Source organism: Homo sapiens, chromosome 6, assembly GCF_000001405.40.
Source record: "Homo sapiens chromosome 6, GRCh38.p14 Primary Assembly".
Lineage (NCBI taxonomy): Eukaryota > Metazoa > Chordata > Mammalia > Primates > Hominidae > Homo > Homo sapiens.
Genome location: NC_000006.12, coordinates 7612713 through 7632981, shown reverse-complemented (window position 1 = coordinate 7632981; position 20269 = coordinate 7612713). Strand labels below are relative to the sequence as shown.

General features: G+C 46.1%; 1 pseudogene, besides 2 other annotated features; it reads right to left on the bottom strand.

Moving 5' to 3' along the window:
* Positions 1360 to 1560: a silencer, noted in NCBI's record as "peak5647 fragment used in MPRA reporter construct". NCBI's record gives its function as "represses an SCP1 promoter by STARR-seq MPRAs in K562 erythroleukemia cells {active_cell/tissue: K562}" and the evidence as "EXISTENCE:reporter gene assay evidence [ECO:0000049][PMID:32103011]".
* On the bottom strand, positions 12097 to 12559 carry RPL29P1 (ribosomal protein L29 pseudogene 1; annotated as a pseudogene).
* Positions 16692 to 16986: a silencer, noted in NCBI's record as "tiled region #13737; K562 Repressive DNase matched - State 25:Art". NCBI's record gives its function as "represses a minimal TATA promoter and a strong SV40 promoter by Sharpr-MPRA in K562 cells {active_cell/tissue: K562}" and the evidence as "EXISTENCE:reporter gene assay evidence [ECO:0000049][PMID:27701403]".

Sequence of the window (20269 nt, the reverse complement as noted above, 5' to 3'; positions counted from 1 at the left end):
TCCTGGGTTTGTTTTCCTACAGTGCAATCCCCACAAATGGGTTCCATGAACATGCAACATAACGATGTCTCAATTCTCTGCATACTTCCTGGGTGGCCTCCATGCCTGCTCCAGTTATTTGTTGCTGCATAAATAAATGATCCAAAATGCAATGGCTTGAAACAACAATTACTGCTCACAATTGCGTGGGTCAGGAACTTGGGCAGGACTCGGTTGGCGGATTCTTCTGCTCTCCATGCTATATTGACTGGGGTCACTAAATGGTGTTCAGCTGGAGGCTGGTCTGGGTCTGGAGAGCCTAAGAATGTTTCACTAACAGGCTTGGTGCTTCGATGGAAACATTTGGAAGACTGAGCTGAGCTGGACGCCCCCTTTCTCTCTGTGTGGTCTCAGGGCCTTGCCATGTGGTCTTTTTAAAACAGTACGTGGACTTCTTGGAGTCGTGGCAGCCCAGGACTCCAAGAGACCAGAATGGAAGCTGTCATCCTCTCAAAGCCAAGGCCTGGAACTGCCATAGCACTACTTCCATCACACTCTGTTGCGGAGCTGTCATGGACCAGCCCAGACTCAAGGAGGGGAATGTTGACACTACCTATTGACAGGAGAAGTGCCAAAGAAATGGCATCCATCACAAGGCCCTCCCACTGAGGATGAGCACAGACCTGGAGCCCGGATGAAGATGGAGGCACAAGAGAACGAGAATTCAAAGTTCTCGTGAGTGGACTGCAAGCTGCACTCAGATCCTGCTCCCGAGAAGCTTGGGGTGGTTGGCCTCAGCCTAGAAAGGATTTTCCACCAAACATCTGAAGCAGAGGCCATGTGTTAGAAGTCACGTTCTTTTATGTACCTCCATGGGACACCTTTAACGACGGCCAGGTTCCTATCCTTCCGCAGTTTCTGTCATTCTCCACCACTCATCCAAACCTCCTTCAAGTTAAACAGATCAAGAACCTCTCTGAGAATCTCTCACATGTTTAAAGGCTTAACCAATCAAACAGGTCTCTACCATCTTCTAAAGCATTTCAAAATTTTTCAAATAAGATGTAATGAGGTCTTTTCAGAAAGGCAGATTTTTTGATCACCAAAAAAGAAGAAGGAACTTTATGTTTTAAAAAGTATAAATACTTGGTCAGCTTCTGCAGAGAGCTTCAAAGGAAGAATGTTATGTCTGAACCAGAACGTGAACATAAAACCTGAAAAGATAACACAGTAATGCTTGCTTGGCAATCCCATCTTCCCGATGGAAATGCAAACAGGCAAAGGCGGGGACTTGTTTTCAAAATGGATTGTAAACACTAGGCCCTGCCGACATGCTAATTTGAAGATTATTTTATTACTGTGTACTTTTCAAGGCTAAATTGGAAACATCTGTCTTTCTGAGACTTAACTGGAGAAAGGTTACAAGTGAGGATTGAGATACAACTGAGGAACATCCATTTCAAGGGCTTCCGGGATATAGGAAGCATTTTCTGCTGTGTATCTGCCCCATTATTCCACAAACCATCAATAAGAATATATTATGAGTATATAAGGCACCCAGACTCCTCTTTATAAAACGTAAGTCCATTCTTTAGGTTACCTTCCCCTCCTACCCAAGAAAAAGCATAGGAAACTAGAAAACCCCAGTCTTCACTGGCCTAGGTGCTCACATTAATCAAGTTCGATTGGCTCCACATCTAGAAGCTCAGAGTCTGCGCTTGAATAATCACCTTGAATTACAAGCAAGCCTGTCTTTCCCCAGAATCCTCTCAGTGGTCCCCAAACTCCCCACAGGGATTCTCACCAGGTTGTTCTGAGCCTTTCTTTCTAGTGTCCCAAGCAGTTCACCTACAGTGAGGGTTGCTGCCAACAGCTCTCCAGGCCCTGTTTCGGGGTCCACCAGCTTCTCTCTGACCTTCTGCCCCACTGACTGTTATTTCTCTGCCCTCTCATTGTTGCCTCCCCCGGCCCAATTAACTTAGGCCCCTCCCCTCCTTATACCCACCAGCCTGCTATACCTCCAGCCTCCACAGCGCTCCTCCTCGGACCTATGGAAGGTGCTTCCTGATCTGCATGGCCAGCTCTTTCAGAGGGGTTCCCCACGCCAGAGCTGTTGAGCAATTAGGTTGGATATGATTGCTTTCTTTCTGTGAAAATCCTCTATTTCCCAGCACTCACAGGTCCAGGGTGGGCTGCTAGAGAAGAGCTGCTGGGTTGGTCCAGCACAGCCTCACCCCATACTTGGAACAATTGCACCTGGTTCCACTAAACTGAGCTATTCATCCTGCCAATTCTTCCAGCCTTCTTTCTTGTCTGTTGTTTTGTGTGTGGGTTTTTTTTTTTTTTTCAATAGCCAACGTATCTTCTCTTGAAATATAGCTTCATTTAGGAACCCTACTTGACAGTCAAGAATGGCTATTAGACTCAGGTAAGAGGATCCACTGCCCTGAGCCCCATGATTTAAGGGCCCTTCTCTGGCTTTCTAGACATGCTCCATCTCACAGGGTGATGAGTCCATAAGACTAAGGAAACATGCCCCCTCAGAGGCCATGATCTTCTATGCTCTGGGTACCCAGAACCCTGGGATCCTTGCCCAGATGGCCCCAAGACCACTTCCAGTTGTGGATGGTCATTTTCTCCTCTTGTCTTCACAGCAGTGGAAACAGCAAGAGAGCTCCCTGGGGCCTCTTTTATACGGGCACTAATCCCATTCATGAGGGGTCCACCCTCATGACCTAATCATCTTCCAAAGGCCCCACCTCCTCATGCCATCACCTTGGAAATTAGAATTTCAACATATGAATTTTGGAAGGACACAACAGTACATTATAAATTTCTCAAAACTGTTCCATGACTCTTGGGTTCCTCAACCACATGGAGAGTGGAAGGGCAGGGGGTGCTGACAAAGGGGGATGTATAGAGAGTTCTCCACGTGCTGTCTGTCTACCCCTCCCTCACTGGGGTAGGATGGGGATGCTTACCTCTTGCCTCAAGCCTAAAGAATGGAGTAGTGGGATCACTTAGAAAGCATTTAGTGTGTCCCTTGTAGTTTGGGGGACCCAAAGGACTGGTGTCTGACTTGCATTGTCTAAAGCGAGCAGGGTTAGTTCCTGAGCTGTGGGCAGAGGCAAGGAGAGGTTGCCACACTGGCTTGGCCTGAGAGCCCTGAACTTGACATAGCAAAGGATGTGTGATGGGCAGAGGAGGGGCCATGGGTGAGATAAGGCTGGGAGGTGCTGTCTTAGATCCTGCCCCAAAAAGGCTGCTCTACAGGGGCAAGAAGACCCCAAAACAAGAGTCCAGAGGGGAGTAGCAGATGCCCAGGGGCTGTGAAGGGGCTACAACTTTGTCAAGAGAATGAAGGTGAGGGATCCACGTTAATGGGGGTTCTCCCAAGAACCCACAAAAGAACCCTCAAGAGAAATACTCAGCTTTAAACATCTGCCAAGTCTGGAGCACACCAATGCTACATCCTTGAGTCACTACCAGTGAAGATGACCAGAAAAGCCACAATCCTGCCTGAGTATTAATCCAGGGCCAGGGCAGGGACCAGCTCACCACAAGGAGCCATGGGACACAAAAGCAACCTGTTTTCTGCTTACCCTCTCACAATGATAAGGGATTATATGGGATTATAGATGATGTTAAATTTAAATTACGTACATTTTTAATCAATTTTTAGCACTTACTACGCACAAGGCACTGTTTGTTTTATGTCTTTTTTCTGAAATTTTTAAGTTAATTTTAGAGATGCAGAAAAGGAAGCCCACGGAAGGATAGCTGTCTACGCCTGTCCCTTTGTCAAGCCAGAAGCGAGGCGAGAATCCGAGTATCCAGAGTGAGCATTTGGCGTCAACCAGCTCTCCATGGCCTCATCCAAAAAACACAGCTGCATAAGGATGATGTGCTAGAGCAAGACCTACTGGAAACAGCCCTTAAGTATTAACACATGCTACATAAAATACACAACTTGAGCTTTGCAGACTCTATTGACCCAAGAATCACGTATTTACCAGGGCAGCATCCAACCATACGAAAGAGCGATGCTCACACCGTAAGGTTCTTTCTTCTCTGTGATACGTTGTACATATTGTCATATTAGTCAGGTAATTTACAGATTAAAAGACATCCCACTCACAGACCCCCTGCCCTTAAAATACATATAGTAGTCCTGCATTCAAGGGCTTAGATATTAAAGAATGATCCCAAGTGTTCATGCTTCTGTCTCCAGCCTCATCTTTCCAGACTGACCTTGTAATAGCCACACACCCACACACTCTCTCTCTCTCCCTCCGTTACCTCCCCTTTCCCTCTCTTCACTCCCCACTTCCCTGCCTTCCATGAGTCAGTCACAGTCAGTTTTTCTGTTTCTCCATCTCTCTTTGGCTTCTGTACTTTCTCCTACCACCATTCTTAGTCACCAGGAAAACTCCTTAAGCCCCAAGTCAGAGTTAGGTATTATACAAGGCCCTGCATACATTTCAATTGTCTTATTTTTTATTTATTTATTTTTTTTGAGACGGAGTCTCGCTGTGTTGCCCAGGCTGGAGTGCAGTGGTGCGATCTTGGCTCACTGCAAGCTCCGCCACCCGGGCTCATGCCATTCTCCTGCCTCAGCCTCCTGAGTAGCTGGGACTACAGGCACCTGCCACCACCCCCGGCTAATTTTTTGTATTTTTAGTAGAGATGGGGTTTCACCGTGTTAGCCAGGATGCTCTCGATCTCCTGACCTCGTGAACTGCCTGCCTCGGCCTTCCAAAGTGCTGAGATTACAGGCGTGAGGCACCGTGCCCGGCCTCAATTGTCTATTTTTTGTGTGTATGTCCAAACTCTATGTTCCATGAAAGGAATTTGCCTTCCATTCATGTGCTTAACTAATAAATATTGAGTACTTTCTCTGTGCCAGCCTCAACTCTGAGTAAGACATCACTAGCACAATATAGGTACTTCCTAAAAACTGATTGACTGGATGGATGGATGGAATGGATGGATGGATGGATGGATGGATGGATGGATGGATGGATAAAGTGTGGCAGTTAGAAATGTGTTCAACTGCGAGCAAAAGAAAACCTAAACGGTGGCTTCAGTAAATAGGGAATTTATTTGAATCACACAACAAGAAGTCACAAGTAGGCTGCCCAAGGTTGGGAGTGGCTGCACAAGGCTATCAGGGGCTTCTGTCTTCCCGTTCTCCATCCTTAGTGTGTTTTGTGAGTTGAATTGCGTCCTCCAAAAAGATTATGTTTGAGTTCTAACCCCTGGTACCTGTAAATATGATCTTATTTGGAAATAAGGTCTTTGCAGATGTAATTAAGTTAAGATGAGGTCATACTGGAGTCAGGTAGATTCTAAATCTATATGACTAATGCCTTTTATAAGAACAAGAGAGATACAGACACAGGGAGAAAGCCACGTGACAAAGGAGGCACAGACTGGAGCAATGAGTGATGTATCTCCAAGCCAAGGATTGCTGGCAGCACCAGGAGCTGGGGAGAACACTGCAAGAAAGCATCCTCCTCTAGAGTCTCCAGAGACAGCATGCCCCTGCGATGCCTTGATTTCAGACTTCCAGCCTCCCGAGTAGCTGGGACTACAGGCGCCCACCACCACGCCTGGCTAATTTTTTGTATTTTTAGTAGAGACAAGGTTTCACCGTGTTAGTCAGGATGATCTTGATCTCCTGACCTCGTGATCCACCTGCCTCGGCCTCCCAAAGTGCTGGGATTACAGGCGTGAGCCACTGCGTGCGGCCCATAAACTTCTACCATTTCAGGCCACTAGGTTTGTGGCAATTTGTTACAGCAGCCCTACGACACCAAAAGAGTGTGTGATTTTCATCCTCATGGCCACAGGATGGCAACTACATTTCTAGGCATCACATCTGTGGTCTGGTCAGGAGGAAGGGGGAAAGAGCAAACATCTGATGGACCATTCCAGTCTAGTCTGCACCTGGAAGAAGCGTTCTTGGAAGTCCAAGCAGTGACATCAATGTACATCTCATGGACCAGGACTGGGTCATACAGCCACCATTTAGTTGCAAGGGAGTCTGGGAAAGTGGATATTTTTGTTTTCAAATCTCTAGGCTGGGCACGGTGCCTCACGCCTATAATCCCAGCATTTTCGGAGGCTGAGTGGGGTGGATCACCTGAGGTCAGGAGTTTGAGACCAGTCTGGCCAACACGGCAAAACCCCATCTCTACTAAAAATACAAAAATTAGCCAGCCAGGTGTGGTGGCACATGCCTGTAGTCCAAGCTACTTGGGAGGCCGAGGCAGGTGAATCGCTTGAACCCAGGAGGCGGAGGTTGCAGTGAGCCAAGATTGCACCATTGCACTGCAACCTGGGCAACAAAGAGTGAAACTACTTCTTGGGAAAAAAAAAACAAAATAAAACAAAAAAACACCTCTATAGTTGTAGAGTTGTATAGTTGAGGAAAGCAAGGGGGATTGTAAATGACCTTGGGTTTGCCAATCCACAATGGCATAGCTATACTAAGCATGTCATTGCCTGCTTGGGCACTAGTGTTAATACACCTCCCAGATGAGAAACATCCCTCTTTCCTCTCTCATCCCTATGACTGAGGCTTAATCCAACCAAAGAGTACTGATGGAGAAAGAGAGCTGCCAGCCCACCGCTCGCCCAGCTGGGCCACTTCCCCAGCCACCCAGGTTTTCCTCCCTGCACTCTGCTATCCATCCCTGGGTAAAACATATAAACAATCATTGAGCCTCAAATGACACCATTCGTAGACCAGGTCAGGCATGCCTATAACCCCTTCGTGTTTCATTTGCACATCTTAAAAATTATGTAGTAATACAGGCTGGGCACAGTGGTTCATGCCTGTAATCCCAACACTTCGGAAGGCCAAGGCAGGTGGATCACCTGAGCTCAGGTTCAAGACCCACCTGGGCAATATGGCAAAACCCCATCTCCACTAAAAAATATAAAAAATTAGCCATGTGTGGTGGCACATGCCTGTAGTCCCAGCTACTCGGGAGGCTGAGGTGGGATAATCACTTGAGCCTGGGAAGCGGAGGTTGCAGTGAGCCAAGATCATGCCACTGTACTCCAGCCTGCGTGGCAGAGTGAGACCATCCCAAAAGAAAAGAAAAGAAGAAAAGGAAGGGAAGGGAAGGGAAGGAAAAAAAGAAAAGAAAAGAAAAGAAGAGAAAAGAAATCTATCTATAGTAATACACATTCTCCTAAAAATTCAACAATCCAAAAATTTATGCAGCAGAAATTAGAAGTCTTTCTATCCCAGCACCCCGCCTCCCCCAGCATCTACCCCCATCACATGCTCCTTAGCAAAGGCAACCACTATTGAGTTTGTGTCTTTATTCCATTTGCTGTCGTCCATGCATTTACACACACACAACCCCCCCCACACACACACCCCCCATAAACCACACATACACAGTTTGCATATTTCAAAAATAGGATTACACTGCCACCCATTTGTTTCCTTTTACAATATGTGTTGTTGTTCCTTGTAAGGATTTTCTATGGGTTATTTAGCCAATCCTACCCTGGGTGTAAGTTGTATAGTAAGAAGTATAGAGCACAGACGCATGCCAGACTGCCTGGGGCACATCACAATTCTGCCTCCTGCTGTTTGAGTGACCCTGAATAAACCGCTCTGTTCTGTGCTTTGGGTCCTTTGTCTGCATACTAAGGGTAATAAAAGTACTTTCTCACAGGGTTGTCATGGAGGATTGAGCTCATTTATGTAAAGTGCTTAGAAAAGTGCCCACCCATAGAAGGCCTTATGCAAGTATCAGCTATGAATAGTGTCAACCAAAATAACAAACAGCAGCTCCTGAAAAGAAAAGATGTTTATTTGGGAGTAAAGCACTGCAATAGGAATATGTGTGCCATAGTAAAACATGTGTGTATTCAGGGAGGTAAAGGAAGACAAAGATTTTTAAAGGGAAAAAATGAGGAAGATTACATAATTGTTTTCAGTAATTATCCTTGGCCACAAAGATCAACAGCAAGGATGATACCAGTCTGTGGTTGGACAGGCAGTTGCTGGGCAGATGTCCTTGAGGAAGTATTTTTTGTATAGGGTTGTGATGGCCTTTGTGCAAGAGAACTTTATCCAAGAAGCTTTGTGGTTTTTTCCGTCTTTATTGTGATCAGGTATACAACCATGAAAACCCTCTCTTCATGGCCTTCCTCAGCTCTATTTGTTGAAGTTATCTTAACATTAGTGACTTCATTTTGATTATGACAACTTTCACAATAGTAATACAATATTTCCTATTTTTGCTATTATAATATGCTAACAACTTGTAAATAGTTCTGTGTGAGTATTTCTAGGGGATACATTCCTAATTCTAGTAGTGAAGTCAAAGGACACACACATATGGGTGAAGTGGTGTTTGATACTTTATTTTGCCCTTACCTGATTACCGGTAGGAGTGGGTATCTTTTCACATGTTTGTTAACCGCGCTCCAGTCCTTCTCCCTTTTTCCTCTTCTGTGAATCCACCAACTATGGTTGTGGCCCATTTTGCCTCCAGGTTACTTTTCTTTTTCTTGACTCGTATCGCTTTCTCTGTATCACGGCTATTAACCGCTCTGTGATTATATCTGTTATACATATTTTCACCCAGGGTGTTGTAGCCTATTAGTTCATCATGCAAAAGTATTAACATTTTACTAATCAATTCTCACAGTCTTTTCCTCTGGCATTTTGTGTCTTGCTTATAAGAAGGTTTTTTTCTACACCAACATTATGGAAAACAGTCCTCATTATCCAAGTATACTCGGTACCAAGGAAAGATGGCTTAGAGTGAGCTCCATTAAAAGGGGTAAAATGTTTTCATAACAAATAATTTTTAAAAAGAGTTTTGGGTTGAAATAATCAAAAAAGAGTTTTGGTTGAAATTTTATGGGGGACATGAAATTAAATGTGTTTTAATCCTATATCTAACAAAATTTTTGTTATAATTTCAACCATATACTAATTTTCAAAATGAACAAGAAGTAAATCAGACTTTTTCAAAAGAAGGTAATATTTCTGGTAAAATTTTATGATTGTGTAAGATCATTGCCTTTACTTTTTACAGCACGGTCATTTTAACAGCAACAAAAAAAATTTGCTTTATGAGTTCTCCCGAGGGTCTCTCTGCATCTTTTGATGTTCAAATCATCCCCTTTTCAAGAATCCAACCTGATTTTTTGGTCAGCTTTCTCTTTTTCATTTCTCAACTTGTCTCTCCCTCTTCCGGAGCCTCATTTGCATCATGACAGCTTTGCAGGGGGGTTGAACAGTGATCCATCATCATTTTCATCAACTTCATGAAAAACCCCTACCTGTTTTGCTAGATGGACCTTGTCATTATGCAGTCCCTGTGTTCTGGCATCATGGCATTGAGTGTTTACAACACCAGACTGTCATCAGAGATATTTGGCATCTGGGACACACGTTGTTTGAGCAGGGGAAGAATTTTTTTTTTTTTTTTTTTTTTTGTGATGGAGTCTCATTTTGTCTCCCAGGCTGGAGCGCAGTGGCACAATCTCGACTCACTGCAGCCTTCACTTCCCAGGTTCAAGTGATTCTCTGCCTCTGCCTCCTGTGTAGCTGGGATTACAGGCGTATGCCACGATGCCCGGCTAATTTTTGTATTTTTAGTAGAAATGGGGTTTCATCATGTTGGCCAGGCTGGTCTCGAACTCCTGGCCTCAAGTGATCCACCCACCTCTGCCTCCCAAAGTGTTGGGATTACAGGCATGAGCCACCATGCCTGGCCGAGCAGGGGAAGATTTTATTTGTGGTCATTAAATATTTTCATGATGTGTCTATTTTTGTTTTTGTGTAACTAACTCTATAACTTCAGGAACTCAGAAAATGAGTAGCAGGATAGTGAGGGCTCCTGGAGGCTACCATTCCATTTAATTCTCCCAATATTGAGGATGTCTGCCCAGCATCATTCTAGGCATAAGTAAGGACCCTTGTCAGCGGCATTCCCTTCACCTGAAGCACATGCTTCTTTTCCTATTGCAGGAACTGCACACATTGACCGACTTCCCCACCCCACCCCAACCCACTCACACACATACCACCACTGCCACCCACTGTTTTTCTTCTAATAATTCCATAACAACCTTGAGAACTTATTTCCGAAAACACTGGGGATAAACCTAGTTGGGGATAAACCCAAACTTAATATCTGTGAGAAAGTAAAATCTTGGTCAGAGCACAAATTTAGATGTGAATGACATTATGAATGAATGGGCTTCATTCTCTCACTTGACAAATTGGGGGATGGGGCCCACACGGAGAAGAAAGTGAACCCCTGCCTTCTTCCAGCTCTAGCATCTGTACTTCAGCGACTGATTACCTTGAGTCAGGGACTAACTCAGGTTAGACCAAGTTCCCAGGTTATTCCACGTTAAACAGCTGTGCCTGAGTCTCGGCTCATGCTTGGCACCATAGAGAAGGGAAAAAGCTGGCAAGGCCTTGGCCCAGGCTCTCAAGGGTCTTACTGTCTAGTTGTGGGGATAATAAGTAACATCACAACAAATGTAGGAAGGATCATTTGGAAGCGTATTGGGGACAGGCCATGTGGAGTGGGGCAGTGGACTTCACTCTAGGTTCCTCAGAACCCAGGGAGCTCCATGGAGTTTCCTTTGGTGTCACCATGAGAAGGACCAGGCTCTAGGCTGACCCCCACCCACCCAAACTTAAACTGCAGCAACTGTTTTCATCAGGCTTATGTGTTAGATGCTCTTGAAGGTGATTTGAAGAAAATATCCTGTTTTTAAATACTGAAAAGCAGTGACCTAGAGCAGAGCTCATCAAATGGCAGCCTGGGGGCCAAATCTTGCTCATCACCTCTTTCGGTAAATGAAATGCCATGGTGCCCAGCCGCACACCTTCATTTACCAACTGTCTCTGGCTGCTTTGTGCTACAAAAGTGGAGTCAAGTCATTGCCACAGAAACTGTATGGCCCACAAAGCTTAAGATATTTACCCTTTGATCTTTCACAGAAAAAGCTTGCCAACCCCTGATTCAGAGAAAAGACATATGAACTTGGACGAGCTCAAACACTGGTCCATCCATGGAGGTGGTGAGTCATGGTTCAGAAGCACGGCAAGGCCAATGGCCAAAAACTTCACCCAACTTTCACCCTTAAAGTTTCATTCCCTCAGTCACCTATTCAAATGCAATTATTGATAACCTATTCTCTACCTGCTCCAGGAATGCTGGAGAAGTAGGCTACTCTCGTCTTTCCTTTCTATCTGCGTTCTTTCTCATAGATGATTTACTATGGGGTAATGAAATTTATGCTTGGAGTTCCTTTCAAGGTCTGATACCTAATTATTTTCCCACTCTCTATCACCTAGTTTCTGTCACTCCAGCTTCCGTTATCCAGGCTGGAGTACAGTGGTACCATAATGGTTCACTTAAGCCTCAACCTCCCAGGCTCAAGCAATCCTCCCACTTCAGCCTCCCAAGCAGTTGAGATTACAGGCACACACCACCACATCTGGCTAATTAAAAAAAATGTTTTTTTTTTGTAGAGACAGGGTCTCCCTATGTTGCCCAGTCTGGTCTTGAATTCCTGGCCTCAAGCAATCCTTCCGCCTTAGCCTCCAAAAATGCTGGGATTACAGGTGTGAGCCATTGCACCCAGACCCTAATTTTGTATTATTTTCTTAAAAAGAGGGCCCCCCAAAAATGGAATCTGCCCCCAATTCTATTTAAGATGTCCAAGTAGGACCTGCCCTTGTCCAGCATAGCCTATTGCCTTTAGACCACCCGAATTGAAGGACAATGAGCTCCCCACCTCTAGCCTCCATGTGGTAGCCCCCTCCCTGCCAGCCAGGGCCTCTGATCATGGAAGGGGATCTTTTCCCAGCTCTGACACCTGCAGCTAGCTAAGTGTGACAGCTAACTTTATGTGTCAATTTTGCTAGGCCATAGTACCCAGATGTGTAGTCAAAACTTATTCTTTATATTTCTGTGAGGGTGTTTGGGGACGAGATCAGCATTTTTTTCCTGCCTTAGGTTTATTCACACAAATAGCACAGGAGGACACCAGCCCCATGCAGACAGCAGCCCGGGGGTCACACCAGTCCTTCTGTCCTCACATTGGCAGATGAAGCTCTCTACTCCAGAGCCTTCATGGGGGCCTGGGCACCTTTGGAAGCCTGAGCAGGAGCTAGAACTGAAGCTGGAGCTGCAGCTGAAGCCGAGGCCTGGGCCTTGGTTTGATCCTTGGCCTTGGCCTTTGGCCAGCAGAGCCTGAGACCCGTGGCAATGTGGGCCCGAGCATGCTTCCCAGCCTTGGGGTGGGCAGTGTAGGCAAATCGAGCTTGCGGCTGGCGCTCTTTGGAACCCTGGGCTGGACTTCCATAGGCTTTGGGGGGCCTTGATAGCCTCAGCTCGCATGTTGTTGTCCTGCATCTTCTCCAGGCCCTTCTCGTTGTGCTTCTAGGCGAAGTGCATGTTCTTCGGGAACTTGGGGTCCATCCCTTTAAGAAATCAATCTTTGTGATCAGGATTTCTTGATGTGTTTCTGTACTATTTTCAGGACTGGTTGTTTGTAGTGTTGTTCTTGAACTTTCCCATGTCTGCACCATAACCCACAGTTCCTGAAGCCAAGATGAACATTTAAATCAGCAGACTTCAGGTAAAGGAGATCTCCTTCCTGGATGTGAGTGGGCCACATCCAATCAGTGGAAGACCTGGACAGAACAAAAAGACTCGTGTCTCCTGAGCAAGAGGGAATTCTGCCAGAAAACGGTCTTTGGACTTCACCTGTAACATCAACTCTTCCCTGGGTCTCCAGCCTGCGGGTCCACCCTGTGGACTTCGAAATTGTCAGCCTCCACAATTGCATGAGCTGATCCCTTGAAATAAATCTCTCTCTCTCTCTCTCTCTCTTTCTCTTTCTCTCTCCACACGCCCTATTGACTCTATTTCTCTGGAAAAACCCTGACAAATACAGTGAGTGAGCCCAGGGCAGAGCCACACAGTTTCAAACTGCGAGAGGACATGAGAAGTCCACATTCAGTCTCCAAGTTGGTCTCACAAGAACCTGAGACTGAGTGAGCACCTGCCTTGCTGTCATTAATACAATCAAGACTTTGTTTTTGTTGGTTTTTTTTATTTTCTTGCTTGTTTGTTTGTTTTTTTGTAGAGAGGAGGTTTTGCCATGTTTCCCAGGCTGAACTCGAACTCCTGGGCTCAAGTGATCCACACACCTCAGCCTCCCAAAGTGCTGGGATTACAAGTGTGAGCCACCGCGCATCCTGCCACAATTAGGACTTTGATCTCCATTTTGGCACCTCTGAATCTTAAACACTTATCACAGTAATGTCAGTGGGGATCTGAAATTCATTGTGACAAAGATGTAAAGGAGAGTGGCCTGTAGAAGTATTTTTCCCAGAGATATTTGGATTTCAAAATGGAACAAAGTGTACTGTGTTTCCTAGTGGCTTTATTTTCCTTCTTTATAGTTGTGCAAATTTGTCACATGTTCTTCACTTAGAAGATATTTTTTGCATTGGAAAATAAAATTTAAGTATAAATTTACTGTGTCTCACCACTTCTTCCTCCCCAAAATCATCATTATTTTCCCTTTGTGTTTGATATTGAGCTGACGGGCATTCTACTCTAAAGCTGAAGTTCAGCCTCCTAGATTCCTGCATGGAATCATTCAACCCGTTTTTCCTGGGTGCCTTCTGTGTTCTAGGCTCCGTAGCAGGTGCTGGGTGCTCTGGAGTCAGGCTGCCTGAGGTCTCATCCCAGTGCTGTGTGAGCTCAGTCAAGTTGCTTAATCTCTCTGTGCGTTGGGTTTTGTTGGTTGGTTTGGGGTTGGGGGTTTTTATGTAGGAGAGAACAAACAATTAAATGAGTTAGCGTGTGAGGCCTGTAGGGCAGCCCTAGCTCCTTGGAGGCACTCAGTACCCATCAGCTCTCATCATCCCAGATGCCCAGAAAGGAACAGCCTTTGTGGCAGGGTGGGAAAGAAGTTTGTGTCTGCCAGTTTCTATTTTCTAAGTGAAGTGGGAAGTGGCCAGGCTGTCAGTTTGAGGAAAGCAAAGAAGACAGGAAGAGGGGAGTTAAAGGTGTGGAGGGGAGTGACTGGGGTCCTTACCCCTTCGTGGCACCAGGTTGGGGTCTTGTGATGCTCTCTAGCCGCACACGGCTAGGAACAGAGAGAAAGGCTTGGAAGAGTCCAGGCTGAGTTGCCCCCGGCTGCTGTGATGGAAGCCATCAGGACAAGGGATATGGCCACAGAGTGGGCGAGGTGACAAACAGAAGATGCAGACAGCAGGAATGCCACACCCCACTTGCTTCTGTAGGAGGCTGCCAGGTTGTTACATGGCCAGCATGAGCCACTTCGCCAGATTAGCATACAAGGAAGGCACTGTCACTCTTATTTTTCATATTGAAACCGACTCAGGCTACAACACACCAGATTCGCAGGAAGTTCAACATCTCCCACTTGTGGCTTGGCACCAACTCTTCGCATTGTCCAAAAACCCTCACGTGCTTATTAGTGTCTCCAAGGCCAGTCCCATCCAGTCACATAAAGCAAAACTCAGCAAATGCCCTCGGGGCTGAAGAAAACCACAGCTACCCCAGAACGAGGCTGCTCCGGAATGAGCTGCCCTGCCAGGCAGTGAGGATTGCAAGAGCTACAATCAAGCACTCTTCTTGTCTAATTCAAAGAGATCATGGGCACTACTGCGGGTTCCAAGACTTAGTGATTCTTTAAGGCAGCAAAATTCCACTTTTTCCAGAATATTTCCACCCAGGAAGTCCCACACTCAGAATAAGCCTGGATCCCCAGGATCCTACTCACAAGCAAGTACCCCAGGCAGAGAGGTGCTCCACCCAGCACTGCCCACAGCCTTTTTCATGTCCATGACAATCTGGGCATCCCATGGAACCCAGGTCACCAGGTTAGCTGTCTGAGGGAGGCCTTGGAGCTTACTTCTGTCAGTAGACCCGCCTCAGCAGGCACTATCTCCAAATGTAGAAGTCTGGATAATGCTCAGCCTCAAAAAGGAGAAGATTGGGGTTTTCATTTCTTTCCTCAAAGGAAGTTCATTATCTCCCTACACTTGAAGGAGGGACCAAAGAAAGGGACAGCCTCCTGAAGTCTCCAAAGAGGCCCTGGCCCACCCCTCTAGGACAAAGCTTGCTGCACGTCCACAGAAACAAATGTATTCACCTGATTCTTCCCAGGACAGAGAAAATCTGCCTTGCTGTCTCCGTCCCGACAGAGAAACAATGAGCAATGGCAGCTCCTCTCCATATAAATAAGTCATCAATTAGTTAAAAATTGATTTAAAATACTGTTGCTTTAGTCAACCAGACGTATACAGGTTAGAGAGAATATGTTCCTTTTTTTTCGAAATTGGATCGCCTTGGACACTGGTCCTCATTCATTCATCTGACAAATAGCTGTGGCGCGTCCACCATCTGCCAGGCACTGGGCATCCAGCAGGGAGCAGAGAAACCAAGTCCCTGCGCTTGTGAAACTTACAATCTCATAAGCTATGTTAGGCTACAAAGTGCTACAGGGGAAAACAATGGAAGGGGAAAGGGTGGAGAAAGTACAATTTTAAATAGGAGGGTCTGGAAAGGCGGCTCTGAAAAGATGACTCTGGAATAGAGAACCAGAGGACGTGAAGAACAAGATTTTCAACAGGAGGAAGAGCGAGAACATGAGATGGGACCAAACCTCATGCACCTGGGGAGCAAGGAGTGGATGCAGGATGGGTGAGGGAGGCCACGGTGGGAGGTGAGGTTAGAGCGAGGGGTGGGCACAGGCCATGCGGGCCTTTAGGTCTTGGTGAGAAATCTGGACTTTCCTCTGTGTGAGATGGGGACCCGCTGGAGGGTTCTGAGCAGAGAAGTGACATGGTCTTACCTTCATTATTATAGGACCGTGCAGGCTCCTGGCTCCTACACAGAGAAATAGACAAGATGGGAGACAAGCTGGAAGCATACAGACCCAGAAGAAAGTTTTCTGATTGTCTGGGATGATACTGGCTTTGATTAGGCTGATGGCAAGCGTGGTAGTAAGAAATGGGAAAACACTGAAATCAGTAGAATTTGCCAACGGATTAGAGGCGGATATGAGAAAAAGAGTGAAAGATGAGCCACTGGAAGAATAAAATTGCAATTTACTGAGATGAGAAAAACCAGAGAAAGGCTGTTTAGGATGGGAAGTGGAGAAGAAATAAAAAAATTGCTGTTAAGTGTATTTGCTTTCAGATGCCAATCAGATTGGGTATCCAAGTGGTGGTGTCCAGTCTGGAATTCAGGGGGAAAAGCTGGTGGTGTTTGGATTAGTCAGTACAAAAACGGCTTAGGCGGGGCATGGTGGCTCACGCCTGTAATCCCAGCATTTTGGGAAGCCAAGGCGGGAGGATCACCTGAGGTCGGGAGTTTGAGACCAGCCTGGCCAACGTGGTGAAACCCCATCTCTACTAAAATTACAAAAATTAGCTGGGTGTGGCGGCGGGCGCCTGTAGTCCCAGCTACTTGGGAGGCTGAGGCAGGAGAATCGCTTGAACCTGGGAGGCAGAGGATGCAGTGAGCTGAGATCGGCCACTGCACTCCAGCCTGGGCAACAGAGTGACTCTGTCTCAAAAAAAAAAAAAAAAAGTGGAGGTGGGGGACTTAGGGAGAGAATGCAGACAGAGAAGAGGTGGAAAGAGTGAACTGTGGGCATTACCATGCTTAAAGCTCAGAGGTAAGAGGAGGAATGAGCCACAGATAGTGAGAAGGAACAGCCTGTGAAGTGGAGGGAGAACCGGGAGATAGCAACGCCACCTATGGTTGGGTCAAGGCGAAGACTGAGACTCCCCCATTGGATTTGGCAGTGTGGAAACCATTTCTGGCCTTAGCTGAGAGTTTGAGTGGAGTGCTGGGGCAAATCTGATTGAGAATAGACTCAAGAGATAAGAAAACAGAAAGTGAGGATGACAAGTATAGAAAACTCTTTTGAAGAGGCTTGCCATCAAGGAGAGCAGAAAAGTGGGGTGGTAACTAGAGAAAGGTAGGGCTAAGGGAAGGTCTTTGTTGTTTCTTTGTTTTCAGATATTCTATCAGCAGGTTTGAGTGCTGGTGAGAATGAGTCAATAGAGAGATGACGGTCGGTGATGCAAGATAAAGGGAAATATTATGAACAACATCTTTGAGCAGGTGAGAGGGGAGGGTCTCCAGCACATAAGAAGAGGTGATAATCTTAGATCAAATGCAGAATAATTCATCCATTGTACCAGGTGAGATGAACTGGAAAATTGTCAGGCTTTTGTAAGTTCGCAGAATTTTATGCATGGAAGTTTCTGTTCAACTTTTTGCCATAAGGTGGCAGTAGCCAGCTGTGTATGAACCAAACAACCCTTAGCGAGCACCTTTGGGAAAATGGCAAAGGCTAAAGTCAATTTTGAGTATATGTTTTTAAAGGCATGGCAGGTATTCTGAAGAATGTGCTCCTCATCCTTCCGGCCTCATATTTTTTTTTTTTCTTTTGAGATGGAGTCTCGCTCTGTTCCCCAGGCTGGAGTGCAGTGGTGCAATCTCGGCTCACTGCAACCTCCGCCTCCTTAGTTCAAGTGATTCTCCTGCCTCAGCCTCCCAAGTAGCTGTGATTACAGGCCCGGCCTGGTCTTAAATAGCATCTTCTCAGTCAGTCCTTCCCTGTCTAGCCTCTCCAAGTAGGTCCATAAGGCTTTCTGGAGGAGGTGATAACTGTTCAGACTCCGAAAGCATATGTGGCCATAATGGAGACAGAGGGAAGAGCTCGGGGGAGGAATTCAGACAATTACTTAGGCAACTGTAAGTGGGGCTGGCCTGAGGGCAAAAAGAGGCAGGAAAAGCAATGAGGAGATGGTTGTAGTAGTGTAGGCAAGAGATGTTTGCCACTGGAACTAGGCAGGGTAGTAAGACACTGTGATTTATAATAAACATATATTTGGCCTTTGTCCCATTTTCTGAGCCATAGCTCCCAAACTCCTTGCAATCTCCAGTGATAGGTGTCTTTTTGTATCTAATGAACTGACGGGTGGCTGGGGGCTCCTGGATGGCCTCAGCATGAGGGCTAGTTACCAGGGGAACTGGCAGCATGATGACAGGGTTAGGACCTTCAGCCCTCCCTGTGCCCCATCTCTGAGGAGGGGAGGGGGGCTGAAGGTTGAGTTGATCACCAATGGCCAATGATATCATCGATCATGCTTACTTTTTTTTTTTTTTGAGACAGAGTCTCTCTCTGTTGCCAAGCCTGGAGGGCAGCAGCAATCTTGGTTCACTGAAACCTCCGCCTCCCGGATTCAAGCAATTCTCGTGCTTCAGCCTCCCGAGGAGCTGGGACTACCGGCGCCCACCACCACACCTGACTAATTTTTGTATTTTTAGTAGAGACGGGATTTCACCATGTTGGCCAGGCTGGTCTCGAACTCCTGACCTCAGATGATCCACTCGCCTCAGCCTCCCAAAATGCTGGGATTACAGGCGTGAGCCACCACACCTGGCCCATGCTCACTTATTGAAGCTTCCATAAAAACTTAAAAAGACTGGGTTCAGAGTTTCCTTTTGGGTTGCTGAACACATCTACATTCAGAAGGGGTGGTGCACTCCAACTCCATGGGGACGCAGGGTCCTGTGAGCGGGACCCTTCTCAACCTTGCCTTGTGTATTTCTTCATCTGGCTGTTCATTTGTAGCCTTTAAAATATTCTTTGTAATAAATCGGCAATAGCAAGTAAAGTGTTTGTTCTCCCAAGTTCTATGAGCTGAGCTAGCAAATGATCAAACTGCAAAGGGGATTGTGGGAACCCCCAATTTATAGCCAGTTCATCAGAAGTACCAGGGGCCCAGACTTGCATCTGACTGTATCTGAAGTGGGGATTAGTCTTGTGGGACTGAGCCCTTAACTTGTGGGATCTGATGATAACTCCAGGTAGACAATGTCAGAAATGAGTTAAATTGTAGGATGCCCAGCTGGCGTCCCCCAGAGAAGTGACGAGTGGGGAAAATCCACGCACATCTGGTCACGAAAGTGTTATGTGGTGAGAGTATAGTAAGAGAGAACAGTCCGCTGGCTTTTTCTTACTAAAATAGTAGTATGGAAAGACGGGGTGGGCTCAGTACAGGTTGAGTTTCCCGTATCCGAAATGCTTGAGACCAATTCAGATTTTGGATATTTTTCAAATTAGGGGATATCTGCATATGCAGATTGAGATATCTTGGGAATGAGACCCAAATCTAACATGAAATTCACTTATGTTTCATACATACCGTATATGCATAGCCTGAAGGCAATTTCATATAATATTTCAAATAATATTGTGCATGAAACAAAGTTTTGACTGAGACCTATCACATGAGGTCAGGTGTGGAATTTTCCTCTTAGGCTCAAGAGCATGTCAGCACTCAAAAAGTTTTGGATTTTGGAGTATTTCAGATTTCAGATTTTCAAATTAAGGATACTCAACCTGTACAAGATACTTAGGAGGTAATCTACAGTGGTAATGGAAATGGGGAAATCGAGAATGACTCTCAGGTCCTTTTTGTTTTTGTTTTTGTTTTTTTGTTTTTTTGAGACAGGGTCTCACTCTGTCACCCAGGCTGGAGTGCAGTGGTGCAATCTCAGCTCACTGCAGCCTCAACCTTCTGGGCTCAAGTGATCCTCCTGCCTCAGCCTCCCCAGCTGCTGGGACTACAGGCATGTACCACCATACCTGGCTAATTTTTCATAGAGATGGTGTCTTGCTATGTTGCCCAAGTTGGTCTTGAACTCCTGGGCTCAAGTGATCCTCCAGCCTTGGCCTCTGAAAGTGCTGGGATTACAGCCATGAGCCACTGCACCTCGCCAGCTCTCTGGTCTTTAGCATGATCGAAAAGGAAGATGGTGACGTGAACCAAATGCAGAAAGACAGAGTGAGGAGGCAGAGGTTTGACGGAAGGGTGGTAACTGTAGTTTTGCAGTGTGGAGTCAGAAGTATGTGGACAGCACTAGGAGAAGCTGTGCTATTTTACGCATAGACACGGCGCTTGGAGGAGAGGTCTGGGCTGAAGTCATGGAATTGGTTGTCGGCATAGTTAAAACTAAGAGTGGGTCACAGCTGCTGGGCAGAGCATGCAGAATGAGAGAGAACACCGATCTGAGAATCCAAACCAGTCACAGGAGCCAGAGTAGAAAGGATGAGCTCACATCTGTAATGAATCACAGTAACAGTGGGCATTCAGTACCTGCGACATGTCAGACACTGCATGGGCCAAATCACATTATGCTTGACAATCTTCTGAGGGCATACA